This window comes from Homo sapiens, chromosome 4 (assembly GCF_000001405.40).
Source record: "Homo sapiens chromosome 4, GRCh38.p14 Primary Assembly".
NCBI lineage: Eukaryota > Metazoa > Chordata > Mammalia > Primates > Hominidae > Homo > Homo sapiens.
The window spans coordinates 96,797,715-96,819,025 of record NC_000004.12 but is presented as its reverse complement, the minus strand read 5'-3'; the positions used below and the strand labels follow the sequence as shown (position 1 = coordinate 96,819,025).

General features: G+C 34.7%; 1 long non-coding RNA gene across 1 annotated transcript in view; it reads right to left on the bottom strand.

The window, feature by feature from the left end:
* Positions 1-610: 610 nt before the first annotated feature.
* Positions 611-21,311, bottom strand: part of LINC02267 (long intergenic non-protein coding RNA 2267) — a 507,713-nt gene continuing 487,012 nt past the window's right edge. Inside the window, exon 4 of the long non-coding RNA NR_147149.1 lies at positions 611-761. This is a non-coding gene — a long non-coding RNA (long intergenic non-protein coding RNA 2267). The remainder of the gene's footprint in view (positions 762-21,311) is intronic.

The window sequence follows — 21,311 nt, the reverse complement described above, 5'->3', positions numbered from 1 at the left end:
AGGCCTCAGGGAACTTACAATCAGGGAGGAAGACAAAGGAGCCTCAATGCCCATGGCTGGAGCAGGAGGAGAGAGAACAGGGAGGTGCCAAACACTTTAAAACAACCAGATTTTGTCAGAACTCTTATCAGGAGAACAGCAGCAAAGGGGGAAATCTGCCCCAGGATCTAATCACCCCTTACCATTCCCCACCTCCAACATTGAGGATTACAATTCAACATGAGATTTGCGTGGGGACACAAATCCAAACCATATCAATATTCTAGGGAGCAATGTAACAATATTTACCCATATTAAGTTTAGGTCTTAGCCAAAGTTTCGGTCTATGACTTGGTAATTCTGATCCTAGGTATCTCTATTCTCCAATAATTCAAATAGCCTTTAACTTCCCTACTGTAGTAATAAGTTGAAAAGTGTCCATAATTGAGAAAATAGATGGAAAAAATATGGTGGTTTGGTATCTCATTGTACTACTTTGCAAGTAGAAGTAATAAACTAGATATCCAAGTGACAACACAGCTAGATCTTAAAAACAGCTTTCAGTGGATAAATACAATTTAATTCTCTAAATTCAAAGTAATCGTATGCACTTTGCCAAAACCCCCACACAAAAAAATCATAGACAGTGTCTACAGTAGGAAAGATGAATGGAAACAAATGAAGATATAAAACAAAACAGATGTCTTGTGAGAATTTTCCAGGAGCTGAAAACCAGCATTTTTCCAGAACCTGAGAAGAATGATGGATTCGCACTTGTTCATCTAATGTCAGAAAGAAAAAGAAAAAAAAAAACAGATTGATTAGTTATCATGAGAATAAATATTTATAGGTTGCAAATACACACTATGTAGTGTAGTGTTAAGTATACTGTAGAGATAATTATTCTTGGCTCTTGTTATATACAAAATTAAATAATCTGTGATGGATAATGATGACATATAATCAAAACAGACTATAAAAATATATGCAACTAAAGGAATGCATATAGTCCAGCTTCCTCCTTCTCTGCTTTAAGTTCTCATAGTCCCCAGGACCAACTCTTAATTTTTTTCCTTGCCATTTTTTCCCTCAATTTTTGTATTATTGTATTCCTACCACAAAATTCACTAACACTGGTAATTTAAATTCCAGAACTCTGGGAACAAATGCTTATTAGATAATTCTACCAACACAAACTCAACAAATGCACAGCTGAACTTAGTATTTTTTGTGCAAAATGTTCTCCTCAGCCTAGATATTGAGATTAACATTATTTGCTAAAAAATTGAAAAACTACTTGAGTCCTCCATCAATCAAAATTCAAATTCCATTTATTCCTTATCTTAGCACCTCTCCTCTATTCCCATCTACATCTTTTGATAGGACTCTTGCATTGGTTTCTTATGTTTTTCCCTTGTCTCCATCAATTGTATTCTCTATAGTAACATTCATCACTACAAAAAAAAAATCCATCCTTTTAAAAATAAAAATCTGAATAAAAAATACTCTTAACTTCATTATTTGGTTCTAAACTTTATTTGAAGCATCATCAACATCACCATATAATCACATTTTTAAAAATAATATGCATTTCAGGAGGCTGAGATGGGAGGATTGCTAAAGCCCAGGAGTTCAAGGCCAGCCTGGGCAACATAGCAAAACCCTTTCTCTATGAAAAACAACAAGCCGGGGGCGGTGGCTTACATCTGTAATCCAAGCATGTTAGGAGGCCAAGGCGGGCGCATCACTTGAGGTCGGGAGTTCAAGACCAGCCTGGCCAACATGGTGAAACCCTGTCTCTACTAAAAATACAAAAATTAGCCGGGCATGGTGGTGCATGCCTATAGTCCCAGCTACTTGGGAAGCTGAGGCAGGAGAATCGCTTGAACCCGGGAGGCAGAGGTTGCAGTGAGCCAATATTGCTCCATTGCACTCCAGCCTGGGCAACAGAACAATACTCCATTAAAAAAACAAAAACAAACAAAAAAAAAACAAAAAAAAAAACAGAAAAAGTAAAATGACAAAAACAGAAACAGTGCATTTGGAATTACTGTTCATAATCCTGCCATTTTTTTACTCCTAAATTTATTTACACATGCTATCTCCTCTATCCACTGCCTGCTCAGGCTTCTAGATCAAAGGTCTCTTACTCCTCAGTTGTTCTTTGATCTCATTTCTTAAGCAAAATTCTTCTTTGCCCTAGTATATTCTATTTTGTCCATAACAATCTCATATTATTTGCACTGGTTATATTTATTTATCTTTTATTCCTGTTATTGGAGTATAAGTCCCTTGAGAGCATGAACTGTGTCTTATATGTATTTTTTATCTTAGTATAGCGGGGCAAAATTGGTACTCAATAAATACATGGTATGCACATTGATGAACTATGAATAAATGAAACAACCTAAAATTCTTTCTATAGCAGAATCGATAAATTGCTGTGATTTCATACAAAGAATATTTTTTAATTCAGCAATAAAAATAAATTAATCACAGAAATATGATTTTAAGCAAAAATGCCAGACATATAAAGAAAAAATTTATAATTCTATCTATATTGTTAGGATTAAAAAAAAAAAAACTTTCCCTCTACCCTCTATGTTCAATGATGGAAACCTGAAAATTAAACAGACAAAAGATAGATTTAAAAGATTTTTTTAAAAATGTTTATTCATATTCATATGGAGCTACTAAAGAAATAGCTAGCTGGCTAAATGGCTAAAGTTAGAGGTTTATACACCTAATTTGGTAGAGAAACGGAGAAGGAGAAAATTCTTCTATGGGAATAATAAATAGGTTTCTTTAGCAAAGATAAATAGATTTTTAGAACAAACTGGAAATAAAAAACGTTGTTTATGCAGATGTCAGTGGTCTTTCTCTCATCTTCATGGCCATTAAACTATCCCAGAGAGGAAATTTGTGGTAGCTTGATTTCACAATATTGCCCCTTTAAGTCAGATAAGAAAAGCTCTGAGAAGGACTATTTTGGCATTTGTTGAAGTTTTGGCTGTATTTAGCTTAAAATAAACTTCGTACTAACTCTGGGGTTCCAAAATGGCTCTCCACAACATGAAGCTCAAAGAACAAGAAAACAGGTAAATTTATAACGTTAGCACTTAGGATATGGGTTACTTTTTTGAGGAGATGGAAGTGATTGAGATGGGCTATGAGAGGACTTTTGTAATATTGGTGGTATTCTATTTCTTGCTCTGAAGAGCAATTGTTTACTTAAATGTATTCAGGTTGAGGGAATTTGTTGAGTGATATGTGCATGGTTTCTGTAATTTTCGGTCCATATATTTTCCCCAAAAAGGTTATTAAAGAAGAATGAAAGAATAAATGAATAAATTCAATTTGATGTTTAATAGAAATTGAGTTAAATATGTTGAATAGTAGGTAGCAGAGGAATCATACAAGTGTGTAATCAGGACCAATGTGACTATCTTTATAATTAATCAAGTAAAGATTATGAATAGCTGATTTCAGAAATTGCTTAACTGGAGGAGAAATATTGACCTCCTACCTCTGAGATATATTGAGGCTCAGACTTATACAATTTATGATCTACTTAGCTCTGGACTTGGATGCCACAAAGGACCTTAAAACTATTTCCCAAACTGAACTCATCATCTCTTCTTCCTATTGGCCAGGCCAGTGGCATCACTTGTGTTTTCTGATTTGGTAAACATCATCATCAATCTTTCAGTTTCTCAAGTCAGGACGCTGGAAGGTAAAATAGAGTCATCCAAGCAATCAATACATTCTGTTTATCATGCTTTGCATATATTTCTTAGGTATGTCTATTTCTTCCCATCGTCACCGTCCTGTTCATGTCAGGGCCATCACCTCTTTCGCCTGCATTGCTATAGCATCCACCCAATTGTTTTACTAGCTCTGGTATTATCTTTACTGTCATTTATTTTCTATAATGCAGACAGAATGATCTTTCTAACTACCTCCAGGGAACTAAACAAAGGTGTATTGTAAGAATGCATTGCTCTAAGGTGAGTATTGTGAGAATAAAACAAATAGCTTATTAAAAAAAATGGAAAGTATAGGCCTCACATTTCTCAAATGCCACAAAGTTAGGATGGCATTCTATTTATATACATAAACAGTCTCTCTATTTAGAGTTAGCATTCAGGAAAAGAGATTGTTTCCCCAGTAATACATATTAACACATAAATTCAAATTTAATAATAAAGCCACACATTTTCAGATGGAGTAATTCTATTTGGCTGCTCTGTATAACAAAGACTATAAATTGCCGTATAATGTCCACAAATTAAATGCAGTAAATTGTACCTCCAAGACTGTGATGAAAATATATTTGAAGCATAGATATAATACACAACACCCCAGAAGTTTTATCTTGGCAATGACTTAAATATAAAATTTAAGTGTCAGAATGAAAAACTATGAGGGGTTATATCATTTTTGAAAACATTTTAGCAAAAATGTTTGACAACTAATAGATTAAATGTGACAATAAAAAACCACCACCTAATGAAAGAAGGTTTCACTATGAAAATTATGAGTAATATGACAATTGTCTTAAACTCTAAAGAGAGGAAGACATGCCTTTTAATTCCCTCAAGGTAGTAAATGTTTTATATCACAGGTATATATGAGGTTTTGAACTTTTGACATTTCAATGTATTATACCACACATAGTCAGAAAAGAAATTCCAGTGATTATGACTTTCCTATGAAAAATAAGTTTTAATTTACTGTATAAGAAAATCTGTGTTTAAAGCGATGTCTATTGAAGCTTTCTCTCAATTTACACAAGCCAAATTCTCTCTCACAGCATGATAATGAAATTTCATCTGAGCAACAAATAAAAGCTTCAGCTCCAAGAATATAAGAGACCTGTATTGGTATAAAGAGTATTTGTAGGTAGTATTGAAATGTTTCTGCTGTGCTGGAAACTAAATAATGCAGAATACGGCTAAAAAAGTAATGAGTAAAATGTGATAAAATTTTGATGTCTTAAACTGAACTTTTTTCAATGATTATTATTTTTAACATAAATTTTGATAGCAGTGGCAAACTTGTCCACTGTCTACAAATAAAGTGTGTTTAACAGATTTATTATTAATCATTTATTCAGGTATTTCAGAGAGATTAAGATATTTTAATTACATGTTTTCTTAAACCTATGTTTATACAAATGTGTAATATAAATATTTATGTTCCAATTTAGAGTTTTAAAGGTTTGCTAAAATATTATTAGAGAAAATGCTATGTAACTTTTTATTCCTGATAAGTTTATTTAAATATTTATTACCAAAAATTCTTGATCACTTAATTTCTACTTTCAGGCTTACAATTTTTACAGTTACATTTTTATAATTTTTGTTTTCGGGCTCATTTTTTTACATCAAGTCTGAATGTAAAATCTCAAAATATCAGATAATTAATTTCCATTGCAACATGTTTAACATCTCTTGACAACTATAAGCCAAAAATATTATTTAGTAAACACTGAGAAGCAATAACAAATGGCATTCCAAAATTTTTACAAATGTAATTCATTTTCTATTATTCCCCCCCAAAAAAATTGGCAAACAGGCTTATTAAAACAAAAAAACATTGCTATTAGTCTTGATGCCCAACAGAAAATGTACCCACAGTCCTGCACAAAAAGTTATCTCATTAAGATTCATCAAAATCAAGCTGTACAAAGAAGAGATTCTGCGTCTCTAAAATAGCAAAAATAAAAAATAAAATCTTAAAATAGAAGCCATCATAGTCATATATTCTTATGGGATATGTCAGGATGAAATAAATCTGTGCTTTGCTTAAACAGAATAGGCTACCAGTGGAGTTGGGAAATGATATGCCAACTGGTAGGTGGAGCAGATTTCCAGGAATAGAGAGAGAAAGAGAAAAGCAGCTACAGACATAAAAACAAAAACAAAAACTGATGTACCTTTTATGTCTCATAAAATTCACAAGGTGAGCCACAGATGAAAATAGATGATGCCCACTAACAAACAGCTAAGATAGTGAACCCCATAATCTATTGCTGCCCTCTGAGAATGAGTGTCTCCATGAGAACAATAGAAAATCACAGACTAATGGGAAAGACAATAGAAAGCACAGTGTCAGAAAAGCCTATGTAGGTTTATTCTACATATCAATATAGAAATTCTTAATTTTTATTCTTTAATTTTGATAGTTAGCTTCCTATGTCAATACTGAATATTGACTTTTACCTGAATTATATACACCTGGTATTAAGAATTTCTGGTAGTTTATTGGGAATGGCATTGAATTTATAAGTTTCTTTAGGCAGTATGGCCATTTTAACAATATCGATTCTTCCTATCCATGAGCATGGAATGTTTTTCCATTTGTTTGTGTCATCTCTGATTTCTTTGAGCAGTGGTTTGTAGTTCTCCTTGTACAGATCTTTCACCTTCCCTGTTAGCTATATTCCTAGGAATTTTATTTTTTTTGTGACAATTGTGAATGGGAATTCCATTCGTGGTTTGGCTTTTGGCTTGACTGTTGTTGGCGTATAGAAATACTAATGATTTTTGCACATTGATTTTGTATCCTGAGATTTTGCTGAAGTTGCCTATCAGCTTAAGAAGCTTTTGGGCTGAGACAGTCGGGTTTTCTAGATACAGGATCATGTCATCCGCAAACAGGGAGAGTCTGATTTCCTATTTGAATGCACTTTATTTATTTCTCCTGCCCGATTACCCTGGCCAGAACTTCCAACACTATGTTGAATAGGAGTGGTGAGATAGGGCATCCTTGTCCTGTATTGGTTTCCAAGGAGAATGCCTCCAGCTTTTGCCCATTCAGTATGATATTGGCTGTGCGTTTGTCATGTACTACTCTTATTATTTTGAGGCATGTTCCTTCAATATCTAGTTTATTGAGAGTTTTTAATATGAAGAAACGTTTAATTTTATTGAAGTCCTTTACTTCATCTATTGAGATAATCATGTGGTTTTTCTCTTCAGTTCTGTTATGGGATAATTACATTTATTGTTTTGCATATGTTGAACCAATCTTGCATCCCAGGAATGAAGCCAACTTGATCATGGTGGATAAGGTTTTTGATATGCTTCTGGATTTGGCTTGCTAATATTTTATTGAGGATATTTGCACCAGCGTTCATCAGGGATATTGGCCTGAAGTTTTTGTTGTTGTTGTTGTTGTATCTCTGCCAGATCTTGGTACAAAACTAGAGAAAACTATTTTAAAATTCATATGGAACCAAAAAAGAGCCTGAATAGCCAAGGCAATCCTAAGCAAAAAGAACAAAGCTGGAAGTATCACACTGCCTGACTTCAAACTGTACTACAGGGCTACAATAACCAAAACAGCATAGTACTGTTACAAGAAAAGACACATAGACCAATGGAACAGAATAGAGAACCCATAAATAAGACCATACACCTACAATGATTTGATCTTTGACAAACCTGACAAAAACAAGCAATAGGGAAAGGATTCCCTGTTCAATAAGTGGTGCTGGGACAACTGGCTAGCCATATGCAGAAAACTAAAACTGGACCTCTTCCTTGAACCATATACAAAAATTAACTCAAGATGGATTATAGACTTAAACATAAAAACCCAAACTGTAGAAACCAAACATATAAAATCCCTAGAAGAAAACCTAGGCAATACCATTCAAGACATAGGCACAGGCAAAGATTTCATGTTGAAGATGCCAAAAGCAATTGCAACAAAGGCAAAAATTGACAAATGGAATCTAATTAAACTAAAGAGCTTCTGCACAGCAAAAGAAACTATCAACAGAGTAAACAGACAACCTACAAAATGGGAGAAGATTTTTGCAAACTATGCATCTGACAAAGGTCTGATACCCAGCATCTATAAGGAACTTAAAGAAATTTACAAGAAAAAAATACCCCATGAAAAAGTGGGCAAAGGACATGAACAGACACTTCTCAAAAGAAAATATACATGCAGCCAACAACTGTATGAAGAAAAGCTCAACATCATTGATCATTAGGGAAATGCAAATCAAAACCACAATAAGATATAATCTCACACCAGTCAGAATAGCTATTATTAAAAAGTCAAAAAATAAAAGATGCTGGTGAGGTGGTGGAGAAAAAGAAATGCTTATAGACTGTTGATGGGAGTGTAAATTAATTCAACCATTGTGGAAAACAGTGTGGCAATTCCTCAAGACCTAAAGACAGAAATACCATTCCACCCAGCAATCCCATTACTGGGTATATATACAAAGGAATATAAATAGTTTTGTTATAAAGACATATACATGCGTATATTCATTGAGCACTATTCACAATAGCAAAGACAGGGAATCAACCTAAATGCCCATCAAAGAGAGATTGCATAAAGAAAATGTGGCACATATACATGATGAAATACTATGCAGCCATAAAAAAGAATGAGATCATGTCCATTGCAGGGACATGGATGGAGCTGGAGGCCATTATGCTTAGAAAACTAATGCAGGAACAGAAAACTAAATACAGCATGTTCTCATTTATAAGTGGGAGTCAAATGCTGAGAACACATGGACACATAGAGGGGAACACCACACACTGTGGCCTATTGGAGGGTGGAAAATGGGAGGAGGGAGAGGACTAGGAAAAGTAACTATGCATACTAGGCTTAATACCTGGGTGATGAAATAATCTGTACAACAAACTCTGGTGACACATGTTTGCCTATGTAATAAACCCGCACATCCTGCACTTTTATCCTTAAACTTAAAAGTTTTTTTTAAAAAAACAATTTCTGCCTTATATTTCAGATTTTCCTAAATATAATGAAATTATTAAGGAAGGATATGCCCACCTTCTTGTATCCTATGAGGCTATCTGAGGAAATGTAAGAAACTACTGTGTTGAAACTCCTAATAGGGTGAGTTCTAGTACTCGTGGTCAATATTATGAGGACAACCCATATTATTTCCATGTGGAATAACTAATTAGAACATCTTAGTTCACCAGCAACTTAGGTATCAAGATCCAACATAAATGATAGCCAGTTTAAGAAGAATTTACCAGTAGTAATGAGGAAAGTTCCCCAGTTAATTCAACTCAGTCAAAAATATGTTTTCCTGTTATTCTGATAGCAATAATGCCTTGGGCTGTTATATGACAAATAAATTCAGTGACAATATTGATGAGTGAGGTTGATAGAGCCATTATCTCTCTTCAGTACAATGCTAGAAGCAACCATCTCAGATCCTCTGGATGATATTCTAAACACCCATGGGACTGTTGGAACTTTTACCACAAGGTGGTGAGCCCAGGATGCACCTGATGTTAGACACCCGAAGAAGGAAGAACTTTCCCTCGAGTAGAACTTTACATTGCTTTTCTAGGAGAATAGAAGAAGCAATTCTGCACATGTGCCACTGAGATGATAAAATAAGTTGACACATAGAGTAATGCTAACTGCCCAAATTTTTCCACCTTAATTGAATTCTCAGAAGAGGAAATAGGTCCCTAATGATGAAATGACAAAAACAAAAAGTGAGTTCCGACTCATAAAAAATTCTACAAAGACTTGAGTTATTTATCTAGACATTTTAAAATAAAAACCTGACTTAAATATTTAAAATTTTTCAAACTTTAAATATTTTAAAATTAATATTGAAATACTATTAAAATTAAATATGTTTAAGTGTTATATGTTTGTTTGCTTTTACTTATATTTGGTTGTTTTATGGTAGTAATTTCCATCAGTCTATTTGAAACTTTTAATCATTTAGTAAATTATATATATTATGCTAAGCACTGGGCTAAGGGAGAAGATATAAATATACTTTATTAATTTATTGAGTAATCAATTATTAATCCAGACATTAATTTATTATAAATACATTAATTTATCAAAAATTTGAATACCATCTATTATGGACTCTGGAGATTCAGAGGTAAACAAGGCAGATCAGATTCCTGATCTATCAAATGTGCATTATAGTGAGCAAAACAGAAAACAAACAGGCAAACACAGTTTTCAAAAATACACAAAGATTATGGTAAGTGATGAGAGAAAGAAACAAGGATACATGACAGGGTCTGTGTGATCGTTTTCAGAGTCAACAAGGATGAGGTGAGGATCGTTGATCTGAGAAATTAGCATTCCATTCCACAGTCTAATCTGGGAAAATAAAATCTTGAAGGTATTCAGTGTATGCCATCCCAGAATATGCCAACCTGGCATAATGATTATTTTGAGCTGGCAGCAATTAAAAAATAAAAGCAGGCACAAGAAAAATTATTCTTGTAGAGAAGATCTGTTCTCCTCTCTACCAAGAAGGGCAGGATAATTCCTAAGCACCAGAGTCAACAACTGTAGATGCTTATCAACCCAGAGATGGCACCAGAAGAAACTGCTTAACAAACCTTGCTAAACCCAACCCTTATCTTCTATTAGTTCCCCCACATATTTATCTTTCCACAATTTGCAGCCCCTAGAATTCCAATCCTTTTCCATTGTCTTGTTACTTCTTTACAGACCTTTATTTGCTAAAATGCCATTCAACCCCAAGTTCTAACCACTACTTTGAGTTACTAAAAGGGGTAACTCTTTAGTTACGCGTTCTTCTGTGTATACGAGTACTTCTGTGTATACGAGTACTTCTGTGTATACGTGCAATGCATGCAGTAATAAACTTTGGATTGATTTTTTCTTGTTAATCTGTCTTTTTTCAGTCTAATTTGTGGGGTCTCAGTGAAAGAACCTAAAATAGGTAGAGGAAAAATAATGGTTTTTCTTCCCTTACAGTCCCAAAAGCCAAAGTCAGTAGTGGCAGCCACTAATAAGGAAAGTAGTCAAATCCCTTAAACTTGCTAATATTGCAAAAATGTGTCATACAAGGGTCTTGAAACAGCTGCTTGTTCAAGCATTAGAAAGCCCGAGTGTTTTTACGTTGCAGAAATGTGCTGGTTGATAGTCACAACCAGGAAAGCCATGTCTGGGAAGTTCAGAGGGTGGTGGTGGACACTGAAGTGGGAGCTGTCAGAAAAATGTGTAGGAGCCTAGAGTACCAAAGCAGATCACTTGGTAAGACTGGGATTTAGCAGAACTGCTGTTTGCCTTATTCACAAGCCACTCTTTTCAAATGCCCTTTGTGAGTTTGTATTTGGATGAAGAAAGGGAATAACACAATGATAAGATATTGGGCAAAAGCAAATATCTAATTTTCCTTTGTAAAAAACACATTCATAATCTATGGTTTTTATTTTAACTTGTGCTTCACATTTAAGGAAAAAAGAAACACTTAACATTTGCTAATGAGGAGAAAATAAAGGTGGATGGCAGAAGTTGCATGGAAGATAAAAGCACAGAAAAACAGTAGCTGTTACTTTTATTTAACATTTTACCAAAACAAATAAGTAAAAATAAGTGTGCTCTATATATTTTGTGACATACAAGTAAGGTTTGGCTTTCTCCTTACAGCCCAATTGATTAGTCTGGAATGTTCTCTTTGCCCTCGGCTTTCCTTTTTCTGACTAAATCTTGGTTTAGCTTTTCCCCAATCTAAGGTAAGACCCTCGCTGCACCCCATCTGTCTATTTTTTTAACCTACCCTATGTTTTCTGTTTTCTCTTCCCTACACTACTTTATGCTTGTCTGATCCAGAAGCATTTATTCTATGTTTTAGGAAGTGTGCCTGCCTAAAATAAGGCTGTGAGATCCATGAAAACAGAACCTGTACCTGTCTTGACCAGTATTGTGTCCTAAGTGCCTAGACACTTAGAAAGAGGGCCTTTTATAACCAATAGATAGCTAGTAAGTGTCTGACCAAAAAGTCACTAGGCAAGTCACATTCTTCTTTTATTCCTTCCTTCCTACCCACCCCATCCCTCTCTTTCTCCTTCTCTTTCTTTCTTTGGGCCCAAGTCATGTGATAAGCATTTCATATAATTATATATTTGAAACAGTATTGCCATTATAAAGGAAAAGAACACACTTCTGAGTTCAAGTTGTAAAACACAGGAGACTAAGGGTTTTAAACAATGAATTATCCAATATTTCAATACATCAGTGAGGCTTAATCCAAATAATTCACAAATGACTTCCTTTTGCTCTATAATTACAAGTTTTGTCTGTGCTCTTTGTTTCTGAGTGTTATTTTCCTTCGAGTATAGGTAAAAGAAGTTTTTCTATTTTCCCTTTTGTTTATCTCTCAATAAATTCAGTGATTCAGAAGAAGACCGCTTCCTGCACTCAATTTTATCATCCCTTTGATAAAGCAAGGCTGAGTCAGTAAATAGCACATCTCCTCTCACCTGTTGCTTTGTTCATTAGGAAAGACACAGAGCCCTCGACTGTAAAGAGCAGGCTTTAGAGAAAAGTGTCTTATATACTAATCAGAAAAATGTTACAAAGAGTACACAATGACCCTTTTATAATATTTCCATCTTATAATATTTCCAAATTACAGGTAACACCACCAACTCTGGGGCTAGACTTCTAGGTTCAAATCCCAGCTTTGCTCCTTAATTGATGTGAGCAAGTTATATAAGTTTCTTCATCCATAGAATGGGGATAATACTAATAACTATTTCACAGGATTATCATGGATTAATAAATTAAAAAATGTGACTTTTCAGAAAAGTACTTGACACATATTAATCATTATTATTGTGTACATTTAATTAACAAGAATAGATAAATTGCATCATTTCAAAGGTTTACACTTTCTTTCTGTGTCATTATAGTTGTTTCAAACTACTTTAGGGCAAAAATGAAAATGCCCAGAGATCTCTTCTGTTACAATTATATAAAGCAAATCTAAATCCATGTATGTTTTTAGATATATATCCAATACCCTAGATAAAAGCAGAAAATCAGAAAAAAATATCTATTTATAAACGCAAATGTGTAGATGGGTCTTTCTATGAGTAATAAACCTAAGTCAGTTGATATTAAATCAAAGTTAGAAAAGTTTCTGAAATACAGTGCAATACAACTCCAGTGGAATTCTCATTTTTTTTAAAGTAAGGAATGAGAGATTCTGAAAGCTGTTTAACACTTTACAGTACGATCATAGTGCATCATCACAAAGAAATTTAGTCCAGGTGTTGCGGTAATTGTGATATGTGGGGAAACTTCATAGCTCACTGACTGTCAAATGTGAATTTCTGTATGGGAAGTGATTTAAGTCTATTACACTGTAGAGTAAGAGAGTGAAAGCTCTAAATTGAGCTTGCAATGGTTATCAACTGTTTCTATTTTAAGTGCCTTTTATAGCTTTCTGGATATTCCTATAAAACAATATTTTTACAAGGCAAAATATTTAATACTCTAAAGTCAGTATACTTGCTGTGACAATATCAAGTATCATAATAAAAATAAGAGTTCAGCAATTTGAAGGTGGTTAGATTATTGCACCAAAACTTTAATATTAGATAAAGTAGGTGATTCACACTTGGAAAATATCTCAATTTACAAGTTAATTTTGTCTTCAATAAAATTTTCTTTTCACCATGTATGTGTTTGCTGAGATTAAAAATGAGAAAATAAATGAAAATATTTAAGTAAAATTTACTGTTTAAATTTTCTTCCTATTAAGAGATAACTATATTAAACATTTTTCTAAACTTTTAAGGAAATATCTTCAAAGCAGAAAATTAATATATTTCTGAAGTTGAATATAAAACAGTTGAGATCTTATCCAAAAAATTATGTTTTTACACCATTATATTTTCTTGCATACATAAACTAAAATAAAAGTAACATATAAAACAATGTGCCAAAAGTCACTGGAGATGTTCCAGATTTTTACTTTTAAGGACAAGGAGACAGCAAAGTATAATAGGCATGTTAGGACATTTTATCCTGTTTTTTTCTGACATATGTTATATATTCAATTTTGGGGATAAAAACTATATATAAGTATTGGTTTCAGGTGCTTTATGGCATATTCTACCCTAAATATGTTGACAAAAAATAATGAAATTCAAATTTGGATAATGTCCTGTATGGTGATTAAAGAATTACTGAAAATGAGGTATCATTAGTACTGAGGGGTCAGTAATACCTAATGAGATAGCACAGGGTGACTGAGGCATAGAAAATACCCGCAATATTTACTTAAAGGCATCTATTTCAGGGTGTTTCTCTTAGAGCAGTTTATAGTAATTGCACTGTCTTAGTCCATTTTGTGGATGGAATATCAGCAACTGGGTAATTTATAAAGAAAAGAGACATTTCTTACAGATCTGGAGTCTGGGAAGTCCAAGGTTAAGGGGCATACACCTGGTGAGGGCCTTCTTGCTGCATCATTCCATGGTAGAAGGTAGAAGGGCAAGAGAGCATGCAGAGAGACAGAAGGGGGCTGAACTCATCCTTTATCAGGAGTGCACTCCCTCCATAACTAACCCACTCCTGTGATAATGACATTAATCCATTCATGAGGGCAGCACCCCCATGACCTAAGGGCATCTTAAAGCTTCTATGTCTCAACACTGCTGCATTGGAAATTAAGTCTCCAACACATGAACTTTGGCGGAATACATTCAAACCACAACATGCACCCTCATTTATAAGTTTTGACAAAAATTTATTCTATTTCTGCGATTTACTCTAAAATTGTTTGTTTAATATTTACTATTCTACTTAACTTTGTAACAGAATAAAAGTGAAATTGGAAACATATATGCTATCCCCATAAATATAGATAACCTACATTTTCATTCCTTCTGTTTTTGACTGTTTTTCTCAGTCACTATTTGTGTCTTTTAACCTTTAAATTCTCATAGCACCCAATTAAATTCAGCAGGGCAGTATTCTTTTATTAAAAAATTGTGGTTAAATATATACAACATAAATTTTGCTATTTTAGCCATTTTTAAGTATACAATTGTACGCCATTAAGTACGTTCGCATTATCGTATGATAAAAGTATCATCACTATCTAACTCCACACATTTTTTGTCTTTCTCAACTGAAACTCTGTACCCACTAAACACTAACTCTATATTCCCCTCTCTCTTCAGTCCCTGACAACCACCATTCCGCTTTCCTTCTCTATGAATCTGACTACTCTAGTACTGCAAATAAGTGGAATTACACGATATTTGTCCTTTTTTGACTGGCTTATCTCTCTTAGCATAATATCTTCAAGGTTTATCCATGTTGTAGCATGTGTCAGAATTTCTTTCCTTTTTAAGGCCAAATAGTATTCCATGACTATTATGTGGTGTGTGTGTGTGTCTGCGCATGTGTGTGTGCGTGTGTGTGCATGTGCATGTGTGTGCGCACGCGTGTGTGTGTGTGTGTATACACTACATCTTGCTTATCCATTCTTCAGTCTATGGGCACTTCTATTGCTTCAACCTTTTGGCTATTATAAATAATTTTATAAAAATGAGTGTACAAATATCTGAAAATATAATGTTTCAATTATTTTGGGTATAGACTCAGAAGAAGAATTTTTAAACCATACGGTAATTCTACATTTAATGTCTTGAGGAAGCATAATACTGTTTTTCATAGGTCTGTACCATTTTACATTCATACCAGCAATGTGCAAGAGTCTCAACTTGTGTCTCAGTCCATTCAGGCAACTATAACAAAATACCCTAGATTGGGTGGCTTTTAAATAACAGAAATGTATTTCTTATGGTTCTGGAGGCTAGGAAGTCTAAGATCAAAGGGGTCAGCAGATGTGGTACCTAGTGAAAGCCCATTTCCTAGACACCCATCTTTTCACTGTAACCTCACATGGCAGAAGGGACAAGGGATCCCTCTGGGAACTCTTTCATCAGGGAACTAATGCCATTCATGAGGGTTCTGCCCTCATGACCTAATCACCTTCCAAGGGCCCCACTTCCAAATACCATCACCTTTGGGGTTAAAATTTCAACATATAAATGTTGGAAGGATACAAACATTCAAAGCATAGTAACTTCTTATTTTCTGTTTTTTATTATTATTAAGAATCATCCAAAAAGTTGTGAAATGTTATTTCATTAAGGTTAGAATTAGTATTCTTAATAGTTAAGAATGTGACCTCTGAGCCAGAGCACCTGGTGTGGAAATCCAGCTCTTATTTGCAACTTTGCTGTTCCTCACTTTTTCTGTGTATAAAATCAGGAAAGTACCTGCTTTCTAGCATTATTGTAGAAATAAATATATTAATATCTGTAAATTACTCAAAACAGTGCATGGCACAGAGTAAGTACTATGCAAAGGTTAGCTCTTATTATCATAACACTTTTTTTCTTTAAGCTTTCTCTTTTCTTTTTTAAATATTCATCTGGATTTTTATGGTCTCAACTTTTGCTCTATACTCATAATTACCTATTTTAGGACTTCTTGAATGTCTTTTATAATGGTCCTTGTTGTTTGCTGGTTGTTTCAAACCATTCTCATTTTCCTTACAGTATCCTAATTTTTCCTTATTTTTCTCCCTGAAACTACTAAGCAGAATGTTTTCCTTCAGAGCACACCTGCCACCATCAGACAGCTGTTTTCTTGTTTTCTAACATTTTCTTCTGCTGCTGCTACCATTTTCTTATTTTCTCTACAACCACATAAAAATTATCTGCTTTAGCCGCCCTCTCCCCCAATTTTTTTTTCTGCTTTTCTTACTAACTTCTACTTCTCTTAAGGCCCAGGTGACCCTTGGGGATGCAGCTGTCTGCTGTGCTGCACGTTTGCGAGGCCAACTCTCAGAATCTTTGCCTAGACTGAACTCTTTGTACCAAGGACGCAGCTCACAGCCCCTCACTGAGCCTCATCACCCACACCTGAACATTCTTTCCTAGCTTTTTACAGTTAGCTTCCCAGGGTATATCTACAGCACAATTTGGGGATTATACAGAATGAGGGATGCAAGCCACAGGTCAAATTAACTCCTTCCACCCAGGACCACAGTGCTGCCATTCACAAAGCCCATTCTGCCAGCTTTACTGGGACCAGTAATACATCCTTATTCATTTTATTAGGTTGGTGCAAAATAACTGTATTGTATTAAGCACAATTAAGTAATTTTATTAGGTTTGTGCAAAAGCAATTACTTTTGCACAAACCTAATAGCAGGGTCACAGAGTCTCCTACAGTCACTCATGTCTGAAAAGAATAAATACCTTTTGCCATTTACAAACACCACTTTCTTGTCCACTTTCAAACACATTAATGACTTTAAAAATTGGTCTCTAAGGCCATCCTAATGGAATTATTGTTTGTTAAGTAGATACACAAAATTCTTAAGAATTCTATTCTTGAAGGACTCCTCCAAATGTCTTCTCCCTTCAAAATAGCTATGCAGACAATTTTTCTTTTCTTTGACCTCAAATCCTATTTCTTGTACCAAACAGCTTCATGTAAGCCTTGCCAAAGGGCCCATGTGGTTGCTTCCCCTAGGACTGCTTATGCCTCACATGTCTGTGAGTCCCTGGCCTACCTGTCGATGATGTGCACTTATTAAACATTTTCTTATGTACATTGTGCTTATAAAAGTATTATCATAAGATGGCTATAATCTATGTTTATACTCAAAATGTATCAATTACTGAGGGTTTTTTACCATCATGAAGGCAAATGAAAAGCAATATGAATAGCAGGAAGAGTGTTAGATATGTGTTATTACATATCACTTAATATGTTTCTCCAGTTTTATACTTAGTAAATCATTTAGACATAAAAGGCATAAAAATAAATGAGACAATAAGAGCTCAAGTTTGTATAATAAGACCGAGACATACACACAAATAAGTATAATACATGACAAAACACAGAAGGTACCTTCAAAGCTGTGCTATGGGAGTTTCAAGGGAGCAGTTGCTGGGAGAAGCAGAGGAGACTTGGGACAGGTCACCAAGTCATTGTTTGAAATGCTCAACAAAGGTTGATTAAACTCACCATGAAGCATTTGCACCATAGTGTGCTTGTTTGGTTTGCTTTAGATGCATGTGTAAGTAAAGGCAGAATCTTAAATATATGTTTATTTCTATCTCACGTGAATGCAGGAAGTTCAGGGCTGGAATGGCTACTCTGAGATCATCATGGACCTAAACTTACTTTCTTTTAAAAATCCATCATACGAAACATGTGGCTTCTATTTCATGCTCCAGTATGGGTTTTCCAGCTCCAATCATGATGCACTCCAGTCAGCAGGAAAGAAGACAGGGCAATGTAAGGTTGTACCCTTTCTCTTTAAGAATATTTTCCAATGTTGCATATGCCAATTCCAATTTCACCCTATTGTTCAGAGTTTAGTTACATGACATCTATCTGTGTAGGGGGCCTTTGCACAATTCAAGAACCTTCTTATTGAAGGAGAAGAAGAACAGGAGGAAGAAAGAGGGGGAGTGGGAGAGGGTAAAGGTGAAGGAGGGATGGAAGAAACTTTAGGAGACAGTCACTGAGCTCATTTTGGTACCTACATACTCATAATATCTTTAGACTTAGGCAAATTGCTTTTTTGATATTGGAATTTATAGGTAATATAATATCCAAAATAGTAGTACTTTAATGCTTATATGCAGATTAGTATTGGGCTAACCAAGAGTATAGTGAGAGACTCATAAAGTTCAATTCATTTTTTTTAAATCAGAATTATGCTTTGACTTGATTTTTAAATACTCTACTTCATACATAATGATAGTGAGAGAAAATGGCATTTATTGTTGCTTTTTAAAATATGTCTTCAGGCTAAGAGAAAATCTACCATTCCTATACGAATCCACACTGTTAATTACATTGCTGTTCTGGTGGTGATGATTGCTACTTTATTGGTTTATAAAATCCAAAAATGTCTTGGAAACACTTTAGAAAAAGTAACATTTACATTGAGATATTGTAGCTTCACATGTAGTTGTGAGAAATAATAGAGAGGTCCAGTGTATTGTTTACCCAGTTTCCTCCAATGATAACATCTTTCAAAACTATAGCACAATGTTAAACATGGAATACTGACAATGATACATTCAAGATACAGAACAGTTCCATCACCATAAGATCCCTCTTATGGTGTGTGTATATATATACACACACACACACACACACACACCAAATGAAATTTAAAAACTGACATTTTTACTCAAACAATTCATAAGATATTCCCCAGGGATTCATTTGATTTGTTATGTGCTTTACTTCTTTATTCCTTTTACTAATGAGTAACATTCCATGGTATGGATGTACCACAATTTGTTTAACCATTCACCTATTGAGAAACATCTGCTTGCTTCAGGCTTTTGGCTAGTACAAATAAAACTACTATGAACATATATATATAGGTTCTCGTGTGATTATACATGTCTATTCTATTGGTATGAATGCCCAAGAGTGCAATTGCTGCATCATATGATAGTTGATGTTCAGTTTTAAAAGAAACTCCCTAACTGTTTTTCCAGAATGGCTCTAACTAACACAGAGGTATCCAATCTTTTGCCTTCTCTGGGCCACACTAGAAGAAGAATTATCTTGGGTCACACATAATACACTAACACTGACGAAAACTGGTGAACAAAACAACAACAAATCAAAAAACTGCAAAAAAAATCTCATAACGTTTTAAGAAAGTTTACAAATTTGTGCTGGGCCACATACCAAGATGTCCTGGGCTGCATGTGGCCTGGGGATCATGGGTTGGACAAGCTCGCTGTAACATTTTACATTCAGAGCAATAATGTATAAGGGATCCAGTTTCTCTGCAACCTCAATAGCATTTAGTGTTGTCATCATTTTTTATTTTAGCTATTCTGAATGATACCTAAAGAAATACTTTTTGTGGAATAAACACTGATAATCAAGGCAAACAAGTAGAGGGATAAGTTTTGAGTTATTCTTTTCTTTATTTCCTTTCCTTTCCTTTTTTCACTCTCTAAAAATAAGTATATTGAACCAGCCTTGCATCCCAGGGATGAAGCCCAGTTGATCATGGTGGATAAGCTTTTTGATGTGCTGCTGGATTCGGTTTGCCAGTATTTTATTGAGGATTTTTGCATCAATGTTTATCAAGGATATTGGTCTAAAATTCTCTTTTTTGGTTGTGTCTCTGCCCGGCTTTGGTATCAGGATGATGCTGGCCTCATAAAATGAGTTAGGGAGGATTCCCTCTTTTTCTATTGATTGGAATAGTTTCAGAAGGAATGGTACCAGTTCCTCCTTGTACCTCTGGTAGAATTCGGATGTGAATCCATCTGGTCCTGGACTCTTTTTTGGTTGGTAAGCTATTGAATATTGCCACAATTTCAGATCCTGTTATTGGTCTATTCAGAGATTCAACTTCTCCCTGGTTTAGTCTTGGGAGAGTGTATGTGTCCAGAAATTTATCCATTTCTTCTAGATTTTCTAGTTTATTTGCGTAGAGGTGTTTGTAGTATTCCCTGATGGTAGTTTGCATTTCCGTGGGATCGGTGGTGATATCCCCTTTATCATTTTTTATTGCGTCTATTTGATTCTTCTCTCTTTTTTTCTTTATCAGTCTTGCTAGTGGTCTATCTATTTTGTTGATCCTTTCAAAAAACCAGCTCCTGGATTCATTAATTTTTTGAAGGGTTTTTTGTGTCTCTATTTCCTTCAGTTCTGCTCTGATATTAGTTATTTCTTGCCTTCTGCTAGCTTTTGAATGTGTTTGCTCTTGCTTTTCTAGTTCTTTTAATTGTGATGTTAGGGTGTCAATTTTGGATCTTTCATGCTTTCTCTTGTGGGCATTTAGTGCTATAAATTTCCCTCTACACACTGCTTTGAATGGGTCCCAGAGATTCTGGTATGTTGTGTCTTTGTTCTCGTTGGTTTCAAAGAACATCTTTATTTCTGCCTTCATTTCATTATGTACCCAGTAGTCATTCAGGAGCAGGTTGTTCAGTTTCCATGTAGTTGAGCGGTTTTGAGTGAGATTCTTAATCCTGAGTTCTAGTTTGATTGCACTGTGGACTGAGAGATAGTTTGTTATAATTTCTGTTCTTTTACATTTGCTGAAGAGAGCTTTACTTCCAAGTATGTGGTCAATTTTGGAATAGGTGTGGTGTGGTGCTGAAAAAAATGTATATTCTGTTGATTTGGGGTGGAGAGCTCTGTAGATGTCTATTAGGTCCACTTGGTGCAGAGCTGAGTTCAATTCCTGGATATCCTTGTTGACTTTCTGTCTCGTTGATCTGTCTAATGTTGACAGTGGGGTGTGAAAGTCTCCCATTTTTAATGTCTGGGAATCTAAGTCTCTTTGTAGGTCACTCAGGACTTGCTTTATGAATCTGGGTGCTCCTGTATTGGGTGCATATATATTTAGGATAGGAAGCTCTTCTTGTTGAATTGATCCCTTTACCATTATGTAATGGCCTTCTTTGTCTCTTTTGATCTTTGTTGGTTTAAAGTAAATGTAATCCAGCACATAA